This window comes from Homo sapiens, chromosome 18, assembly GCF_000001405.40.
Source record: "Homo sapiens chromosome 18, GRCh38.p14 Primary Assembly".
NCBI lineage: Eukaryota > Metazoa > Chordata > Mammalia > Primates > Hominidae > Homo > Homo sapiens.
In genome coordinates, this window is record NC_000018.10 from 58,812,473 (window position 1) to 58,834,497 (window position 22,025).

The 22,025-nt window shown below is 45.0% G+C and overlaps 1 long non-coding RNA gene and 1 other non-coding gene across 2 annotated transcripts; one reads left to right on the forward strand and one right to left on the reverse strand.

Annotated features, from left to right (window-relative positions):
• The first annotated feature begins 1,407 nt into the window (after window positions 1-1,407).
• LINC01926 (long intergenic non-protein coding RNA 1926) lies at window positions 1,408-21,892 on the forward strand. Its single transcript, NR_146904.1, has 3 exons — window positions 1,408-1,602; window positions 19,214-19,316; window positions 21,713-21,892. It is a non-coding gene; the product is annotated as a long intergenic non-protein coding RNA 1926 (long non-coding RNA).
• Window positions 6,411-6,544, reverse strand: LOC124900406 (U8 small nucleolar RNA). Its single transcript, XR_007066479.1, has one exon. It is a non-coding gene; the product is annotated as a U8 small nucleolar RNA (small nucleolar RNA).
• Window positions 21,893-22,025: the final 133 nt, after the last annotated feature.

Sequence of the window (22,025 nt, forward strand, 5' to 3'; positions counted from 1 at the left end):
TTGACACAGAGTCTCGCTCTATCGCCCGGGCTGGAGTGCAGTGGCACGATCTCAGCTCACAGCAACCTCTGCCTTCTGGGCTCAAGGGATTCTCCTACCTCAGCCTCCCAAATAGCTGGGATTACAGGTATGCACCACCATCCCTGGCTAATTTTTCTATTTTTAGTAGAGATGGGATTTCACCACGTTGGCCAGGCTTGTCTTGAACTCCTGTCCTCAGGTGATCCACCCACCTCGGCCTCCCAGAGTTCTGGGATTACAGGTGTGAGCCACTACGCCCGGTCAGCATCAGTATTCTTGCGCTATGGGGCCATCATGAAGTGAAATAAGAATGACTTGAACCCAAGCACTGCAATACAGAGACAGCCGATGTGGTAACTGAGAGGGCTCCGATGTGACTCATGAGTGGGGACATCTATGGCATGGAGATGCTGGACAAAGGGAGGAATCCCACCGCAGGTGCAAGGCTTCATCACACTACTCAGAATGGCAGGTGCAACTTAAAGCTTATGAATTGCTTATTTCTGGAATTTTCCATTTAATATTTTTGGACCTTAGTTAACGGAAGGTAACTGAAACCATGGAAAGTGAAATCATGGTTAAGTGGGGCTATGATAAATTGTGACCACCAAAAACAACAGAATTCATAACTGGCACGATGCAGCTATTTCTCCACTAAGGGCCCTGAGTGTTCTTTGAGTGTAAAATTTGTGTTTCTATTTTGGTGGTTATCTAAAAAAAAGCTAGCATCTGTGTGTTGCAGATCATCTGGCTGATTACCGCACAGCTCGAATTCTGCTTCATGATGCCTGCATTCACATTTTGTCTTGGATTCCAGATGTACTGGCACTACTGAGATGCTGAAAGCTCGGGATCCCCTATAACTGTCTTCTTCATCACCAACCCAAGAGTACAGCTGCAGAATTGCAAAGCCAGTTCTTCAGTGTAACATGCATATTTGATGATCGGTGTCCACCAAATTACAGGCTTTTATCTTTTTAATCTTTGGGAGTGAGAGTAGTTGACTTTTAATTTATGAATTTGTATTAAAAGCAAAAATGTCTGGAGAAAAGCGGTAAACTGGAAATTATGATTGGTGTAATTTACAATAGAAATAGGCAATTTCGAATAAAGAGCAGAAAACCATACCTAATTTATGCATGAGGACAGAATGCATGCTGAAATTAAGACAAGATTGACACTGAAAGACTAGGCAGAAAAAAAAAACAGAACAGAAAAAGAAGAGAAGAGTGGTGGAAATGTCAACAGATTCCTAGTGGAAATATTTGCTCACAGCCATCAAGCTGTACAAGTTTGAAAAAGTAAGATCAACAAAATATATTACAAGGATCTTTCTGAACTGGCTCTCAACCTTTTCTTTTTCCCTCATCCCATTCTATTTATACACATCACAGTCCCAAGAATAACACAAGAAATTCTCCAAGTTTCCAAGAAGGGAAGATGGAGTGGAGGGCGCCCACCCTATCTCCAGTGGACATCCCCTGGGCTACTCCTCTCCTGATGAGAAAATGCTCACTTCAGCCAAGTGCAGAATGGTCCCCTTTGTTTTCGTGGGTATCAGTGGAGAATGAGATCCTTCATGTAAGTAAAATTTCACTGTCACTCATTAGGATGGCTAATATCCAAATAAACAGAACAGAAAATAACAACTGGTGAGGATGTTGGGAAATTGGAATCCTTGTACATTGCTGGTGGGAATGTAAAATGGCGCCATTGTTGTAGAAAACAGTAATGACGTTCCTCAAAAACTTAACCCTAAAATTACCATATGATCTAGCAATTATGCTTCAGAGTATGTTCCCAAAAGAAATGAAAGCAGGCACTGATATGGCATGGCTCTGGGTCCCCACCCAAATCTCACCTTGAATTGTAATCCCCACAAGTCCAGGGAGGGACCTGGTAGGAGGTGATTGGATCATGGAACTGGTTTCCCCCATGTTGCTCTCATGACAGTAAGTTCTCACAAGATTCGATGGTATTATAAGGGGCTTTCCCTTCACTCACACTCTCTCCTGCCGCCTTGTGAAGAAGGTGCCTGCTTCCCCTTTGCCTTCCACTATGACCATAAGTTTCCTGAGGCTTCCCCAGCCATGGGGAACTGCGAGTCAATTAAGCCTCTTTTGTTTATAGATTGCCCAGTCTCAGGTAATATATCAGGCAGTATCTTTATAGCAGTGTGAAAACGGACTAATACAGGGACTCAAACAGATACTTGTACTTCCACATTTCTAACAACTAAACTGTGGAAGCAACTTAAGTGTCCACTGATAGACGAATGGAGAAACACAATGTGGAACATACATACAATGGAATAGAGTTCAGCCTTAAAAGAGAAGGTCATTCTTTTTTTTTCTTTCTTTCTTTTTTTTTTTTTTTTTTTGAGACAGGGTCTCGCTCTGTCATCCAGGCTGGAGTGCAGTGGCGTGATCTCGGCTCACTGCAACCTCTGCCTCCCAGGCTCAAGTGGTCCTCCCACCTCAGCCTCCCGAGTAGCTAGGACTATAGGTGTGCACCACTATGCCTAGCTGATTTTTGTATGTTTTTAGTAGAGACAGGGTTTCACAATGTTGCCCAGGCTAATTTTGAACTCCAGAACTCAAGCACTCTGACCACCTCAGCCTCCTGAAGTGCTGGGATTACAGGCATGAGCCACCGCGACTGGCCTAAATTGTCTAGCTTTTAATCTGCCTCATTGCATCTGACAGCTACAAACTACAACCCTTCCCTGTTCCTGAATTTTCTTCCAAAACACATCTGTAATGCCACTGCCATGCCTGCGAAGCACTGATGACTCTTCATCAGAATAGGCAGAAATTCACCTCCCAATCCGACCCCAATCTACCTCCAATTTACCTCATCTCCTGCACCCCCATCCCTAACCCCATGCATGATAATCATAGTCTTTTTTTTTTTTTTTTGAAACAGAGTTTCGCTCTTGTTGCCCAGGCTGGAGTGCAATGGCGCAATCTCTGCTCACTGCAACCTCTGCCTCCCGGATTCAAAGGATTCTTCTGTCTCAGCCTCCCAAGTAGCTGGGATTACAGGCGCATTCCACCATGCTGGCTATTTTTTTGTGTGTTTTTAGTAGAGACAGGATTTCATCATATTGGTCGGGCTGGTCTCGAACTTCTGACCTTGTGATCGCCTTGGTCTCCCAAAGTACTGGGATTACAGGCGTGAGCCACTGCGCCCAGCCTTTTTTTCATGACTTTAATACTCTAAGGAATGGCACAGCTCCAAATCCTCACAAATATACCTCATTCTTTGTAGTATATGTTTCTCTGCCTTATGAAACTGTACGCTCCTCAAGTCCAAATTAATTCCAACGTCACCTTGATTGGTCCCACACTGACCTCTAGCCTAAATTAATCACTGTCTCCTCAGGAGATTCAGCATATTTGTTTCTACGTTGGATGACCTTTGCATAAGGAACCAACCGGCTGTTTGCTCAGAAGGAGGCTGTGGCAGCATAGGCACTTACACTGTCATATTCAACACACTGAATTCTAGATACCTGCCTGGCTGTCTCTTCTGCTGCAGGATCAAGTCTTATTTAGTTTTCTGTCCCAGTGTCTAACACAGTGCCTTGAATGGGGAGACACTCAGCCATCATTTACTAAATTGAAATGAATTGTGAGAATGCATTGCAGATGCACCTGAATTGGGAGTTACCAAAAAGAGAGAAAAGAGGAAATTGTACTGGAGTCAAAGATAAATTTAATCTAATTCATATTTATGATCACAGAGATCATGTCAGCATATGAAACTCTAGTGCATGAATTAGGGCAGCAGACCCCAACCTTTCTGGGACCAGGGACCGGTTTCATGGTTTCATGGAAGACAATTTTTCCACGGACCAGGGGTGGGGAAGATGAAACTGTTCCACCTCACATGATCAGGCATTAGATTCCCATACAGAGCACGCAACCTAGATCCCTCACATGCGCAGTTCACGATAGGATTCCTGCTCCTATGAGAATCTAATGCTGCCGCTGATCTGACAGGAGGCGGAGCTCAGGCAATAATGGCTCACCAGCCGCTCACCTCCTGCTGTGCTGCCGGTTCCTAACAGGCCACAGACCGGTACCTTCACAGAAGAAACAACCTGGGCCCCTTGCCTATTGTTAGTGTGTCCCTTCCCACAGTCACACCCTCTTGTACCTGTCCCTGGGAGGAAAACACAAGGTATCAGTAAGTTTGAAATTCCCCGGCCGGGCGCGGTGGCTCACGCCTGTAATCCCAGCACTTTGGGAGGCCGAGGCGGGCGGATCACGAGGCAAGGAGATCGAGACCATCTTGGCTAACATGGTGAAACCTCGTCTCCACTAAAAATACAAAAAATTCTCGGGCGTGGTGGCGGGCGCCTGTAGTCCCAGCTACTCCGGAGCCTGAGGCAGGAGAATGGCGTGAGCCCGGGAGGCGGAGCTTGCAGTGAGCAGAGACTCCGTCTCAAAAAAAAAACAAAAAACAAAAAGAAATTTCCCATCCATGAGTTTTTCACTTTTTCATCTTCTTGGTGCAGGGAATTCCAAGTATTTAAGAAAGCAAAATGAGGCCAGGTGCAGTGGCTCACGCCTGGAATCAATCCCAGCATGTTGGGAGGCCGAGGCTGTTGTATCACTTGAGGCCAGGAGTTCAAGATCAGCCTGGCCAAAATGGCGAAACCCTGTCTCTAATAAAAAATACAAAAATTAGCTGGGCATGGTGGTACGTGCCTGTAGTCCCAGCTACTGAGGAAGCTGAGGCAGGAGAATGGCTTAAACCCAGGAGACGGAGGCTGCAGTAAGCCTAGATGGTGCCACTGCACTCCCGCCTGGCGACAGAGCGAGACCGTCTCAACACAAAACAACACACAAAAAATTCTGTACACATCTCTTTTGTATTGCATGCATACGGATGGATGGATGGATGGACGCACAAGTATTTTACTTTGAATAAAAAGAAGTATTACCTTTCTTGCTGAGCACGGTGGCTCACACCTGTAATCCCAGCACTTTGGAAGGCCGAGGTGGGCAGATCAGAAGGTCAGGAGTTTGAGACCAGCCTGGCCAATATGGTGAAAGCCCATCTCTACTAAAAATACAAAAATTAGCTGGGTGTGGTGGCGGGCGCCTGTAGTCCCAGCTACTCGGGAGTCTGTGGCAGAATTGCTTGAACCCGGGAGGCGGAAGTTGTAGTGAGCAGAGATCATGCCACTGCACTCCAGCCTGGGCAACAGAGCGAGACTCTGTCTCAACCAAAAAAAAAAAAAAAAAAAAGAAGTATTGCCTTTCTTACATCTCCCACAGTCCAGAATGATGTAGCTCCATTTCTAGGCTAAACAGAAAGATGGATCTTCCTGAAAACATGATTTAAACATAATTTCTTTTTAGGGCTGAGCATGGTGGCTCACACCTGTAATGTCAGCATTCTGGCAGGCAGACCAGCCTGGGCAACAAAGCAAGACCCCTTCTCTACAAAGTAAATACATAAATAAATTAGCTGAGCATGGTGGTACACACCTGTAGTTCCAGCTACTCCAGAGGCTAAGGTGGGAGGATCGCTTGAGTCCTGGAGTTTGACACTGCAGTGAACTATGATCACACCACTGCACTCCAGCCTGACAGCTTGGCTCCTCCCTAGTGATTTCTAATGTGCATCCAAAGTCAAGAACCACTGCATATAAACAGTTCTGCAGCTTGTATTTTTGTTTTGTTTTTGTTTTTTTAACAATATGTCTTATAGATCCTTGCATAGGAATACGTAAGAGTGCTCTCTTTTTAATAGCTGCATAGTATTCCACCAGGTGATAGAGTATGAAGGCATTTATGGACATCAGATAGTTCTCTTCTTTTTCTGAGATGAAGTCTCACTCTGTTGCCCAAGCTGGAGTGCAGTGGCACAATCTCGGCTCACTGGAACCCCCACCTCCCAAGTTCAAGCAATTCTCCTGCCTCAGCCTCCCGAGTAGCTGGGACTACAGGCACGCACCACCATGCCTGGCTAATTTTTTTTTTTTTTTTAGTAGAGACGGGGTTTCACTATGTTGGCCAGGCTGATCTTGAACTCCTGACCTCGTGATCTGCCTGCCTCGGCCTCCCAAAGTTCTGGGATTACAGGCGTGAGCCACCACACCTGGCCTGATAGTTTCCAATATTTTGCTCTCACAAGAAATGCTGAAACAAATCACCTTTTATATCTATTGTTTTGCACATATGTATATACAGCTGTTGGATAAAGTCCTACAAATACCATTGCTGAGTGAAATAATAAGATCACTTGTAATTTTGCTAAATATTTGTAAGTTCGCTATTTAGTTAACTACTTGTAATTTTGCTAAATCTTCCATGATAAACATTTGATAGACATTATTAAATTGTCCTATGAGGTTTAATTTTTTTTCACAACAAATCAGATATGAACAATCAGAGTTTGCAAGTCCTGATTACACAGAGACATTAATCATGGATCATGCAAACTCCAATTATCCTGTTCTATCTGCCCTCCAAAACGAGGAACAGGTAAGGATTATCCCACCTGATGATAGGATTACATTATTAATCCAGGTTTATAAAAAGTTTTCAGAGTGACAAAGTGTGATTTTATTTTAGAGACACATATGCGAGAATATGATTACTGTGTTTGGTTTAAATTTCAAAAAGTGACAAGAGATTGTAGAAGTGGATCATTTGTCATTGTTAGGGTTACAGTGTCTTTCCTGATAGGGCTGGTTGGCGGCTCAGTTTCTTGTTCTTTCTTGTCATTAAAGAGTTTTGTTCTCAGAAAGGAAATAATCTGTGCTCTTTGATGTGGTTCAGAAAAAAGAGACCAACACCACATTTTAAAACTCTTTGTGGCAGATCGTCCACGAGCAGCTCTTTAAGAGAAGCAGCTCACAGAGCTCTGGCTCAAACAAGAGAAGTTTTTAGAGAACATAGAGAATGTCTGACTCTGGAAGAATTTCCTCAAGAAAACACAAAAGCAAAGAATGGAAAATGCAAACACAATTATTCTTCCTCTGATGGGAATAACTTTCCAGCTCAAATGAATATTTATTTGTTTGTGTGTGTGTGTGTGAGACAGGGTCTCGCTCTGTCACCCAGGCTGGAGACCAGTGGCACGATCTCGGCTCATTGCAAACTCCACCTCCCGGGTTCAAGCAATTCTGCCACAGCCTCCCGAGTAGCTGGGACTACAGGCACCCGCCACCATGCCCAGCTAATTTTTGTATTTTTAGTATAGACAGAGTTTCACCGTGTTGGCCAGGCTGGTCTCAAACTCCTGGCCTCAAGTCACGTGCTTGCCTTGGCCTCCCTAAGTGCTGGGATTACAAGCATGAGCCATCTCCCCCGGCCTCAAGTGAATCTTAACTTTGAGGCTATGCCAGAAGCTGAAGACAGTAAATCAAGCACTAAATTAGAAACACACTCTTCAGATGGGCACAGTTGCTCATGCCTGTAATCCTAATGCTTTGGGAGGCCAAGGCTGGAGGATCGCTTGAGCCCAGGAGTTCAAGACCAGCCTGGGTGACATAGAGTGTAGAGACCCCATCTCTACAAAATAAATAAATAAATAAAAAGTAAAAAAAAAAAAATCAGCTGGATGTGGTGGTTCACTCCTGTAGTCTCAACTACTTGGGAGGATTGCTTGAGCCCAGAAGTTTGAGTCTGCAGTGAGTTATGATCGCACCACAGCACTCCAGCCTGGGTGACAGAGCCAGACCTTGTCTCTGAAAAAATATATAAATAAAATAAAAAGAAACATGCTCTTGCACAAAAAAGTATTTTGCTTTAGGAGCAAAAATAGACACCTTTTGGACATTTCCACATTTTTATACGATTGAGGATTCCACTCTATAACATGTCTCTCTTCTCCTTCCTTCTTGAATTCTCCTTTCTCCTTCTCCTCTGAGAGAGAGACAACAGACAGACGCAAAGACAGATACATGGAGATACAGAGGGAAACAGAACAGATCTTCTGGCATGACATGTTTTTAAAATAGCTGTCAGGATGTGCTGAGAGAAATGGACCATCATAAAATAGATCATTTTTATGTCAAATGAGTGTTACCATATGTTTATGTTTCTTTTCTTTTCTTTTCTTTTCTTTTTTTGAGGCAGAGTTTCACTCTTTCACCCAGGCTAGAATGAACTGGCATGATCTCGGCTCAGTGCAACTTCTGCTACCTGGGTTCAAGCGGGTAGCAGAGGTTGCCTCCTGAGTAGACTCAGCCTCAGCCTCAGCCTCCCAAGTATCTGGGACTACAGGCATGTGCCACCATGCCTGACAAATTTTGGTATTTTTAGTAGAGCTGGGGTTTCGCCATGTTGGCCAGGCTGGTCTCGACCTCCTGACCTCAGGTGATCCACCTGCCTCGGCCTCCCAAAGTGCTAGGATTACAGGCATGAGACACCATGCCTGGCCAGATATTCATATATATATACACACATATATATATATACACACACACACATATATATGCACATATATATACACACACACATATATATACATATATATATATACACATACACATCTCTCTCTCTCTCTATATATATATATTTTTTTTTTTTTTGAGATGAAGTTTTGCTCTGTCACCCAGGCTAGAGTGCAGTGGTGTGATCTTGGCTCACTGCAACCTCCACCTCCCGGGTTCAAGCAATTCTCCTGCCTCAGCCTGCCGAGTAGCTAGAATTACAGACGCGTGCCACCCTACCAAGCTAATTTTTGTATTTTTAGTAGAGGCGGTGTTTCACCATGTTGGCCAGCCTGGTCTTGAACTCCTGACATCAAGTGATCCACCTGCCTCGGCCTCCCAAAGTGTTCGGATTACAGGCGTGAGCCACCGTGCCCGGCCTCCTATATTTCTTGAAGAAATTCGAGCATCAGCTTTTGAATTGTATCAGTTGAAGTTCTGTGATAGAAAGCAATAGAAATTGACTCATGAATGTAAGCCAAAAAAGGTTGTTTCAATGACACTGAGAAGCTCACAAAATTAAAAGCAGGAACCAGGACAGGTCTGAGAATCACAGTGGCAGAGGCCTGTAAGAAACTTCTGTTGGGGATCTTGCTATCCAATGATTTATTCAAATTCCCAGGAAAAGTAATCTGATTGCATTAGCTTCACCACGTGCCTACCTCTTGTGATCAGGGGCTGAGTCTGACACTGGCAAGGGGAGAGGGAAGTTGAGAAATATCATGGCCATACTGCAAATGCTGCCCCCCAAATCACTCAGTAATTTTTAACCATGCATATTGGATCTGGGTAAATAAAAGTGCTATATTGAGATGCTAATCACAGCTATATAACTTTGCTCTTCATGAAAATGGGTAGAGGCTGGGTGCAATAGTTCATGCCTGTAATCCCAGCTCTTTGGGAGGCCAAGGTGGGGGGATCGCATGAGGCCAGGAGTTCAAAACCAACCTGGCCAACCTGGCGAAAGCCCGTCTCTAATAAGAATACAAAAAATTAGCCAGGCCTGGTTGCACACGCCTATAATCCCAGCTACTAGAGAGGCTGACTCACGAGAATCACTTGAACCCAGGAGGCAGAGGTTGCAGTGAGCCAAGATCGTGCCTCTGCACTCCAGCCTGGATGATGGATTGAGACTCTCTCTCAATAAAAGAAAATGGGCCTGGCGCGGTGGCTCATGCCTGTAATCCCTACACTTTGGGAGGCTGAAGTGAGTGGATCACGAGATCAGGAAATCGAGACCATCCTGGGTAACATGGTGAAACCCTGTCTCTACTAAAAATACAAAAAATTTGGCCGGGCATGGTAGCACGTGCCTGTAATTCCAGCTACTCGGGAGGCTGAGGCAAGAGAATTGCTTGAACCTGGGAGGCAGGGGTTGCAGTGAGCCAAGATTGTGCTACTACACTCCAGCCTGGGCGACAGAGCAAGACTTTATCTCAAAAAATAAAAAGAAAAAGAAAATGGGTAGAAATCTTGATTAGGATTAGACCTGGACAAAGATATTTCCAAAAGTCCCTTGTGAAACTGAAAAGTAATGAACATGTTTCAGTCTTCAGACAGCGTCTATCATTTTTTTTAAGTGTTTAAAAAGTAATGTGCCAATCTTTGTACTCCTATGTTCATAGTAGTACTACTCACAATAGCCAAAGGATAGAAGCAACTCAAGCGCCCCTTGTTTCTTCCATTCATGAATGAATAAACAAAATGTAGTGCGTACATACAATGGAACATTCAGCCTTAAAAAGGAAGGAAATTCCGACACATGCTCCAACATTGATGAACCTGGAAGACACGATGCTAAGTGAAATAAGCCAGACACAGAAAGGCAAAGAGTACACGATTCCACTTGTATGCGGTATCTATGACAAAATAGTCAAATTCATAGAATCAAAGAGTGGAATGGTGGTTGCCAGGGACTTGAGTAGGAGGCAGGGGGGAATTATTGTTTGATGGGTACAGAGTTTCATTTCAGTTGTTGTTGTTCTTTTGTTTTTTTGGGTTTTTTTTGGAGACAGAGTCTTGCTCTGTTGTCCAGGCTGGAGTTCAGTAGCGAGATCTCGGCTCACTGAACTCCGCCTCCCAGGTTCAAGCGATTATTTTTGCCTCAGCCTCCAGAGTAGCTGGGATGACAAGCGTGCGCCACCACACCCAGCTAATTCTTGCACTTTTAGTAGAGACGGGAGTTTCGCCATGTTGGCCAGGCTGGTCAAACTTCTGACCTCAGGTGATCTGCGCACCTCGGCCTCTCAAAGTGCTGGGATTATAGGCGTGAGCCACCGGGCCTGGCCGCATTTTTTTTTTTAAGGCTGTGGGCAATAGTAGAGATGCCTGCAGCACAACTAAGGAGGGTGAAAAAGGAGGTGGGAGGACTATTGTCAGACAGCCTTCCTATACCACAGATTTCTGCAATGGATTAGTTTGGCTGATTCCAAGTATCATAGTTGGTCATTCTTTAATTTATAGAATAAAAAAATCCATGAGTTCTAAAGGAACATTTCAAAGCCAGGAAAAGACTTTTTAAAATGTATGTTACAAGTCTAGCTGGTAATCCGAAGCCCTCCTGCATTGACACGGGCTTTCCTCTCTGAGTTGCTCTGCAGAGCCCAGGAAAATAATAAAACCTTTATGACCAAGAGTACTATTTCATTTCCTTTCTAAACGAAACCCATGAAAGGCCACCCATGCTGGCTGGTGTGGATGCAAGCGAAACTTAACTGTAAATTGAAGCAACTATATTTCTTCTGCCTCTATGTTGAAAAAACAAACAAAAAAAGAATAAAACAAAAATGATATAATTTAAATATACAGCAACTGCTGGTTTTCATCTTAATAATTTACAGTTGATGAAGCTGGGAGGTTATCTGTTGGTTTTTCATGTGGTTAGTTTCAAAATATGACTTATCCTCTCCAGGCCATGGCTTTCTGGCTTGTTCAATTTACTTCCCCCAGTTCTTTGGCCCCTCTTCTGCACAAATGCCCTCCCAGCCCTCAAAGGCCCTCCCCGCTTCTGAAACTATCTCCCACAACCATCAAGATTCTTTCTAGGCTGGGCGCAGTGGCTCACACCTGTATTCCCAGCACTGTGGGAGGCCGAGGTGGGTGGATCACCTGAGGTCGGGAGTTCAAGACCAGCCTGACCCACATGGAGAAACCCCATCTCTACTAAAAATACAAAATTAGCCGGGCTTGGTGGCGCATGCCTATAATCCCAGCTACTTGGGAAGGCTAAGGCAGGAGAATCGCTTGAACCTGGGAGGTGGAGGTTGCAGTGAGCCGAGATCGCGCCATTGCACTCCAGCCTGGACAACAAGAGCAAAACTCCGTCTCAAAAAAAAAAAAAAAAAAAAAGATTCTTTCTAGAAAGACTTCTATAGAAAATTTTTTCTAGGCTGGGCACAGTGGCTCATGCCTGTAATCCCAGCACTTTAGGAGGCCAAGGTGGGCAGATCACTTGAGCCCAGGAGTTTGAAACCAGCCTGGGCAACATGGCAAAACCCTGTCTCTTCAAAAAATCCAAAAATATTAGCCAGGCATGGTGGTGCTCACCTATGGTCCTAGCTTCTTGGGAGGCTGAGGCAGGAGTATTACCTGAGCCCAGGAGGTCGAGGCTGCAGTGACCTCCGGTGATTGCACCACTGCACTCCAGCCTGGGTGACAGAGTGAGATCCTGTCTCAAAACAAAAACAAAAACAGAAAAAAAACACACACGAAAATCTTTTCTGGAAAGTCTTCTTGGACCTCTTCAGATCTCTTCCTCCAGTGAATTCTGTGACACTAATTACTTTTTTCCCCCCATGATACATAGGGCTTTGGGCTATGAAAGTATAATTTTCAAAAAGATAAAAGCCTGACTCTCATACAAATGTAGAATGAACACATGTCAATTATGTATGTAACTAATTCACAAGGGTGCCAGGAGGATGTAAAACTAGTTCAAAGGAGAATTCAAAGAACAGAGGTCTATGTAGTCAGACAGGAAAGGCAGCCAAAAATAAGCTTTTTTTTTTTTTTTTGAGACAGAGTCTCGCTCTGTCATCCAGAATGGAATGCAGTGGCACAATCTCGGCTCACTGCAACCTCCACCTCCTGGGTTCAAGTGATTCTCCTGCCTCAGCCTCCTGAGTAGCTGGGACTACAGGTGTGTGCCCCCACACCCAGCTAATTTTTGTATTTTTAGTAGAGACGGGGTTTCACCATATTGTCCAGGCTGGTCTCGAACTCCTGGGCTCAGGTGATTCGCCTGCCTCAGCCTCTCAAAGTGCTGGGATTACAGGCATAAGCCACCACGCCCAGCCAAGAATAAATTTTCTAAATCACAGGCAAAATTGGTTAATGTCCTAACGGGCAATAGAACGGTAACCTTCCGAGTTATCTCGGATACTCTTGGAAATCTACTAGTTAACATGTAACTTGAGAGAATCTGAGCCTTCGTCATTAGTAAATAGCAAGAAGACAAAAGTGTATCTCCCAGTATTAAATAATCCTTGGGTGGGCTCTGGGCTAGATATGCTCCAGTATGATATTGAAATCTCCCAGTATTAAATAATCCTTGGGCGGGCTCTGGGCTAGCTATGCTCTGGCATGATATTGAAAGATATGCAGGAGTCCTTTCAGCTTATATCCAAGTTTTTGGCTAATTTGCCTTCACTGGGTCAACCACCCCATTTCATAAGAGGAAATACAAGTCTGGAGAGATTAGTTTACTTGTCTGAAATCACACAATTGGTAGGAGCTGAGCTAGAACATGAAACTAAGTCGGTGTGGCTATAGATTATACATCTCCAAATGCATACTAAAGGGTTAGAGATCCGCAGCCAGTGGAGTTAGCAGAGAACACGTCTCACTTGTGTGTGCACGTGGGAATCCAGGGGATATGGAATTTTTTTTAACCAGGGGATAAAAAACTGTTTTTTTGAGACAAGGTCTTGCTCTGTCACCCAGGCTGGAGTACAGTGGTGTAATCACGGCTTGCTGCAGCCTAGACTTCTGCGGCTCAAGCAATCCTCCCACCTCAGCCTCCTGAGTAGCTGGTACTACAGGCATGCACCACCATGCCCAGCTAATTTTTTTACTTCTTGTGGAGATGGGGTCTCAGTATGTTGCCCACGCTGGTCCCAAACTCTTGGGCTCCAGCCATCTTCCCGCCTCAGCCTCCAAAAAGCTGGGATTACAGGTGTGAGCCACCACGCCTGACCAACAAATGCTTATTGATTGTCGTGAAAGTCCAGTGGCCTAGCTAGACTACCTTTCAATACCACTGGTGAGAAACAACAGCTTAGTAGTATATAACTAGCTGATCTTAGGTGCCATTTAGCGAAAGAGTTAAATGACTGTATGTTTTATTTTATTGGCTAGATTGTAATTTTGAGGCCAGGTGTTTGAGACCAGGTGTTTGAGACCAGGTATTTGGAATTCACACTTACCCAGTAAGTATTTGTTGAGTACTATCTGTGGCAGATTACCTTGCCTCTATTTTTTTTTTTTTTTTTTTTTTGAGACGAAGTTTTGCTCTTCTTACCCAGGCTGGAGTGCAATGGCACAATCTCGGCTCACTGCAACCTCTGCCTCCTGGGTTCAAGCGATTCTCCTGCCTCAGCCTCCCAAGTAGCTGGGATTACAGGCATGCACCGCCACGCCTGGCTAATTTTGTAGTTTTAGTAGAGATGGGATTTCCCCATGTTGGTCAGGCTGGTCTCGAACTCCCAACCTCAGGTGATCTGCCCGCCTTGGCCTCCCAAAGTGCTGGAATGATTACAAGTGTGAGCCACCTCACCCAGCAGATTACATTTTTTAAAGGTAGCCACACCTACATATTTATCCCACCTCACATGCCCTTCCTACACCCTTTCCAGGGAAAGGAAACCCAGGTTCCCCCACTGCTTGTATCTGAGCAATGACTGCTCTAAGGGAACACAGCAGAAGTGATGCAGTGATGCTCCCTGGTTTCTGAGGCTAGGTAGTAACCATGAGGGAGGAAAATAGGGTTTAGACAAAGGGAATCTAAAGCAGATTCACACTGGCTTCCTAGAACTAAATCAAAAGGAAAACCCCAACTTTCCACACCTAAGCAATGAAAGGACAGGAGGCTACTCCCTTTGCAAACCCTGCCCCCTTTTTTCTGTGTGACAGATGGAAAATCAAAAGTACCTCTGATTGGTTGCTTTCTGCAACCAATCAGACTGACTGTGGGCCACTACTTCATTTACATAGGGTGTAACCAAGTGTGTGCGGAATAATCCGTGAGTTCTTGGTCTTGCTGACTTCAAGAATGAAGCCGTGGACCCTCGCGGTGAGTGTACAGTTCTTAAAGATGGTGTGTCCGGAGTTTGTTCCTTCAGATGTTCAGATGTGTCCAGAGTTTCCTCCTTCTGGTGGGTTCGTGGTCTCACTGACTTCAGGAATGAAGCTGCAAACCTTCACAGTGGGCCTTACAGCTCTTAAAAGCAGTACATCTGGAGTTGTTCATTCCTTCCAGTGGGTGGTCTTGCTGGCTTCAGGAGTGAAGCTGCAGACCTTCACAGTGTTACAGTTCACAAAGGCAGCAAGGACTCAAAGAGTGAGCAGCGGCAAGATTTATCACAAAGAGCAAAAGAACAAAACTCACACACTGCAGAAGCGGACCCAAGCCAGTTGCCACCGCTGGTTCCGGCAGCTTGCTTTTATTCCCTCATCTGGCCCCACCCACATACTGCTGATTGGTCCACTTTACAGAGAGCTGATTGGTCCATTTTACAGAGAGCTGATTGGCCTGTTTTGACGGGGTGCTGATTGGTGCATTTACAATCCCTAAGCTAGACACAGAGTGCTGATTGGTGTATTTAAAATCCTCTAGCTAGACAAAAAAGTTTTGCAAGTCCCCACTAGATTAGCTAGACACAGAGCACTGCCCCCCGGAAGGCAGGTGAGGCCCTTGGAGAATTCCAGCGCGGTGTGGTAGGGCCGGCAGTGCTGAGGGACCCGGCGCACCCTCTGCAGCTGCTGGCCCTGGTGCTAAGCCCCTCACTGCCTGAGGCCGGCAGGGCCGGCTTGCAGGGCCCGCGGAACCCACGCCCACCCGGAACTCATGCTGGCCCGCGAGCGCCACGCGCAGGCCCGGTTCCCGCCTGTGCTTCTACTTCCCACACCTCCCCTCAAGCAGAGGGAGCCGGCTCCGGCCTCAGCCAGGCCAGAGAGGGGTTCCCACAGTGCAGTGTCGGGCTGAAGGGCTCCTAGAGCATGGCCAGAGCGGATGCTGAGGCCGAGGAGGCGCCGAGAACAAGCAAGGCTGCTGGCACGTTGTCACCTTTCACAAGGAACCAATGGGAAACCTTTAGAGGGTATTTAAACCCCAGAAAATTCTGTAAAGGGGCTCCTGAGCCCCTATGCTGAGCCGGTTCCCACCTTGTGGAGTGTACTTTTGTTTTCAGTTCCTTTTGTTGCTTCATTCTCTCCTTGCTTTGTTTTTGCGTTTTGTCCAATTCTCTGTTCAAAACGCCAAGAACCTGGACATCCTCCACCAGTAACCAAACGGTTATAGTATCACCTGGTTCTCTATCTTTTCCTCTGTCCGGATGCTTGCCCTTTGAACCTAACCACCACATTGTGAGAAAGCCCACTTGGAGAGACTCTGTGTGGATGTTCTGACCAACGTCCTTGGGCCACCAGCCAGCAGCTCCATGTGATGAACCCCAGACATGGGAGTGAACAGGGCTTCAGATGATTTCAGCCCACACTCTTCAAGTCTTCCCACGGAGGCCCAGACATCGTGGAGCAGAGGTCAGTTACCCCTGCTGTACCCTCTCTGAATTCCTAACCCACAGAAACTAAGAGAGATAATAAATGACTTTTGTTTTGTTTTAAGCTACAATGTTTTGGAGTCACTTCTTCCGCAGCAATAGGTAATTAATACACCAGCTATGTTCTTGGCAGGTTGGCATTGCTGGTTTAACTTTTCATCCGCAGTTCAAATGTAAGCGTCACGAGGTTTTTTAATTCCAGCTTCGCCAAGCCATGAATTTGACCCTTGCCAGGAGCAGGGGCTCACATCTGTAATCCCAGCACTTTGGCAGGCTGAGGCGTGAGGATAGCTTGAGCTCAGAAGTTCAAGACCAGCCTGGGCAACATAGCAAGGCCCCTACCTACAAAAAAAAAAAAAATTAGCCTGGCCTGGTGGCATGTACCTGTAATCCCAGCTACTTGGGAGACTGAGGTGGGTGGTTTGTTTGAGCCAGGAAGCTGTGTTCATGCCACTGCACTCCAGCCTGAATGACAAAGAGAGACCTTGTCCAAAAAAAAAAAAACAACAACAACAACAAAAAAGAACTCTGCTAAATGACATTTCAGCAACTGTTCCAGCCAACGCATAATGACATTTTATAGGGAACTGCTTTGCTAGAGGGGAGATGTGCACACTTGTAGCATTATGAAGGTCTCCGGAGGTATCCCTTTAAGCTCTCAATGGCCAACCGTGCTTCTTTATGTTTTCCCAAGGCTCTGAGCTCAGAAGTTCCCAGCCTGTGAGGTATGAGAGTTTCCCAAGTCTTCTGCCAAAAAACCTCAGTTCAGGAGAAAAATAAACTCAAGAGTCCTCTGATTAAACCAGTCTTTATTGCAGTCTGACTTGGAGCTTTTGGCCTTAGTGGCAAAGAAGGTGATTAAGTAGTTTTCCCAGGAATAGGCCTAATTCAGCTAAAGTGGACTTTCAGGAATATTCTGTTTAAGAGCATGAGCACATGCTACTACAAAGAGCAGCTTTTGTTTTGTTTTGTTTTTGTTTTTGAGACGGGTGTCTCACTATGTTGCCCAGGATGGCTTCAAACTCCTAGGCTCAAGAGATTTTCCGAGTAGCTGGGACTACAGGTGTGCACCACTGCACACGGCGCTAATCCCATTTTACTTATCCATGTGTTTATTTACTGTCTCCCCCACTAGGATGTTGTATTTGTCTGTTTTCACGCTGCTGATAAAGGCATACCTGAGACTGGGCAATTTACAAAACAAAGAGGTTTAATGGACTTACAGTTCCACGTGGCTGGGGAATCATGTCGGAAGGCAAGGAGGAGCAAGTCACGCCTTACATGGATGACAGCAGGAAAAGAGAGCTTGTGCAGGGGAACTCCTCTTTATACAACCATCAGATCTCATGAGACTTACTCACTATCACAAGAACAGCAGGGAAAGACTTGCCCCCATGATTCAATTACCTCCCACCAGGTCCCTCCCACAACATGTGGGAATTCAAGATGAGATTAGGGTGGGGAAACAGCCAAACCATATCAGATGTGAACTCCATGCCAGCAGGAACCTCTGTTTTTTCACTTATATATCTCTGGTGCCAAGAGGCTATCAAATAATAAGGGCTGAATAAATAAATGATCCATTTTCACATACTTTTAGGTCATTGTGTAAACATGGTACTGCTACTACTACTAATAATAATATCAATAATACCAACCTGGGCAACATAGCAAGACTTCGCCCCTACAAAAAAAATCAAAAACATTAGCCAGGTGTGGTGGCACATGCCTGTGGTCCCAGTTATGTGGGAGGCTGAGGTGAGAGGATTGCTTGAGTCCAGGAGGTTGAGGCTGCAGGGAGCTGTGATCACACCAGTGTACTCCAGCCTGCATGACAGAGCAAGACCCTGTCTCAAAATTAATAATAATATCAACAGTAACAACAACTGTTTCATATGGTTAAAATAAAGAGATGGTCAAAAGTATGATTTCATGAATCACACAGCTTATTGCCATACAAAGTTTTTTTCTTTATCAAAATGCTAAACGGGGAAGAATAAAAATCTCACAGAGGCCGGATGCAGTTCACACCTGTAATCCCAGTACTTTGGGAGGCTGAAGCGGGCAGATCACCTGAGGTCAGGAGTTCGAGACCAGCCTGGCCAACATGGTGAAACCCTATCTCTACTAAAAATACAAAAATTAGCCAGGCATGGTGGCGGGCACCTGTAATCCCAACTACTCAGGAGGCTGAGGCAGGAGAATCACTTGAACCTGGTAGGTGGAGGTTGCAGTGAGCCGAGATCACACCATTGCACTCCAGCCTGGGTAATAAGAGTGAGACTCTGTCTAAAAAAAAAAAAAAATTACACTTGATAGATGAAGTACATTAAAAAAAATTACACTTGATAGACGAAGTCACATAGTGAGTAAGCTCCAACTTCGAGTCCAGTTGTTAAAATGGAGTTGCCCAATTAGGATGGAGGCAGTCTTCTGTGGATGCAAAGTCTAATCAATGTTTCTAGGAGAGGTTCTAGGAAGAGATGGCTTGACCAATGCAGCAGAGATCCATGACAACACACAGGCCCCTCAATGCCGGGGGCGGGGACAAAAATTATCTCATCTAATTCTCACAGTTGTTCTATGTAGATATTACTACTCTGCCCATTCTACAGTAAAGAAGTCGAGCTTTAGAGATAGTACAAGTTGGATATTCCTAATCTGAAGATCAGAAATTTGAAATGCTCTAAAATTTGAAACTTTTTGAGACTGACAATGCTCAAAGGAAATGTTCATTGGAGCATTTTGTATTTTGGATTAGTGATGCTCAAGTGGTATAATGGAAATATTCTAAAATCCAAAAAAATCTCTAAAATCTGAGACACTTCTGGTTTCAAGCATTTCAGATAAGGGATGCTCAATCTGTATTTTTCCTCAAGTCACATGATTGCAAGCAAAACTAAGCTCAGGCCTGACTCCAAAGCCAGTTTTCTTTTCTTTTAATTTCTTTCTTTTCTTTTAGATGGAATCTCCCTGTGTTGCTCAGGCTGATCTCGAACTCCTGAGCCCAAGCATGCATCAGCCTCTCAGTAGCTGTGATTACAGGCATTGAGTCACCACTCCTGGTAAAGCCTATTTTCTTAAAGTCATACAATGCTGTCTCCCTGCCTAAAAAACAGTTTGGAAATCACTGCTCTAGACAGAGAAGCCACTAATCTTTGTTGGTTGATGATGAAGCACTGTACTTGGCAATGGAAATACCACATGACCTAGCTCTGGTTGTATCCTATATTTTTTTTTTTGAGACAGAAGTCTCTTGTCCCCCAGGCTAGAGTGCAATGGCACGATCTCGGCTCACTGCAACCTCTGCCTCCCGGGTTCAAGCGATTCTCCTGCCTCAGCCTCCTGAGTAGCTGGGATTACAGGCGCCTGCCACCACGCCCAGCTAATTTTTGTGTTTTTAGTAGAGACAGGGTTTCACCATGTTGGCCAGGCTGGTCTCCAACTCCTGACCTCAGGTGATCTGCCTGCCTCGGCCTCCCAAAATGCTGGGATTACAGGCGTGAGCTCCAGGCCACTTCTGATACTTTGAATTTTCCATCTGCCCAGCAGGAAAGGGGGAGGGGTTTGCAGTAGCCTCTGGTCCTTTTGTTACTTAGGTGTGGAAAGTTGGGGTTTTCCTTTTGATTTAGTTCTAGGCAGTCAGCATTAATCGGCCTTGGGTTCCCTGACTCCAGACCCTATTCTCCTGCCTCAGGACCAGGCAACTAGAGGCCACTGCTACAGACCCAAACCCTCTGGAATTATTTAAGATATCCAACCCTAAACTGTTGACTCTGCCTGGCCTGGCCTTTCCCGAGGAAACTCCAGTACACGCCCTGGCTTCAGCTTTCCCCTTGCTCCCACTTCCATCTCCAGACCAAAACCTGGAGCTTCTCCTGTGGCCCTGTGTGGCAGGGTATGCCCCCTTCTCTCAGGAAATCTCTCAGATAAAAGCCATCTGTTAATGACGTTGGCCTCTCTGTGCCATCACTCAACCATGTCCACAAATTCGAATCCCACAGGTACAAATTTCAAAACACGGGACACCCTGAGTTAATCAGGGGAGAAACTGATTTAGGAGGCTTCCTGCAGAACTGAGTTGATGGTTTCCAAAACTCCTTTTATTCTATCACAATAATACCTTCATAGTCATATGCACTCGTTTATTTATTTCAGCTCAACTTGGAACCTGCAAACTCTGAAACAAGTTATTAAAATCAGTTTTTTAAATATGGAACTATACCCATCAAAGTATTTCCTACTCTATTTCTTGCCTCATTCAACATCTTCTTGTCGATTGATTCATGTAACTGCCAAAGCCCAGAGTATTTCAGGAGCAGAGACTCCTTAGTTTCCAGAAATATTTTTCTCATGGTTCCCATTAATAAATTTTAGTGGCGGCTGGGCATGGTGGCTCACGCCTGTAATCCCAGAAATTTGGGAAGCTGAGGAAGGCAGATCACTTTAGGTCAGGAGTTCAGGACCAGCCTGGCCAACATGGCGAAACCCCATCTCTGCTAAAAATACAAAAAATTAACCGGGCATGGTGGCGCATGCTTGTAATCCCAGTTACTCGGGAGTCTGAGGCAGGTGAATCACTTGAACCCAGGAGAGGCAGAGGTTGCAGTGAGCTGAGATCACACCACTGCACTTCAGCCCGGGCAACAGAGTGAAACACTGTCTCAAAAAAAAAAAAAAAAAAAAAAAATATATATATATATATATATATATATATATATATATTTATTTATTTATTTATTTATTGGAGCACACAGGCACCCAGAGTAAACATTATATTCGCTGACCTCCCTGGCAGCCATGTGTGGCCATATGGCTGAGTTCTGACCAATAGGATGGATGGGTGCAAAGTCCATGTGGCTCACAACCCATCTCTTCTCTCTTCCTCATTGTCCCTTCTTTTTTTTATTATTTTTTTTTTTTTGGAGATGGAGTCTCACTCTGCCACCCAGGCTGGAGTGCAGTGGCGTGATCTCGGCTCACTGCAGGCTCCACCTCCCGGGTTCACGCCATTCTCCTGCCTCAGCCTCTGGAGTAGCTGGGACTACAGGTGCCTGCCACCACACCCGGCTAATTTCATTGTCCCTTCTTGCATCCTGGATGCTGGGAATGCTGATGCCATCACATTGGACCATAAGGACTGGTTCCTGAAAACTTCTGGGAGCAGATTGCTTATGCTTCAATTTGTCATCTTGTTAAACAACTGTTAGCTGGGGTTTTCTGCCACTCGCAGAAAAGCCAAATCATTACTAATTCAGTGGCAAATGGTGTAAGTGAAGCAAGCACTCAAGGAGGTGGCAGTGAGTGACAAAATTAATAACTACATGGCTTAGCTGAGATTGCATCCTAAGGACAAGAAAAGCAATAGTAATAATGGCTTGCTTTTTATAGTGCTTTATAATTTTAACATACTTGCAAATGTTTTTTCTCTTTTGATCCTCATAATAACCTCCTTGGCCAGAGAAATAACAGGACTTTGGTGCTATTCTCCAAGCTGAAAGCCATCCTCTTCGGCCCTGAGGACACAGCTTTTTCTGCCATAACTCACTGTCTCCACTGGCTCAATTAGCCAATTAGTGGCATTGTAGAGGGCTGAGATGTTACTTTTTAGTTTCCAATAAAATTCTCAAGTTGGTTTCAATTCTCCTTATAATGATGATAAAGTCAAAGCTCAGAGGAACTGAACGATGGCCCCTTAAAATTTATATTTTGAAGCCCTAACTCCCAATGTGAATGTATTTGGAGATTGGCCCTCTTTAAAGAGGTAATTATGG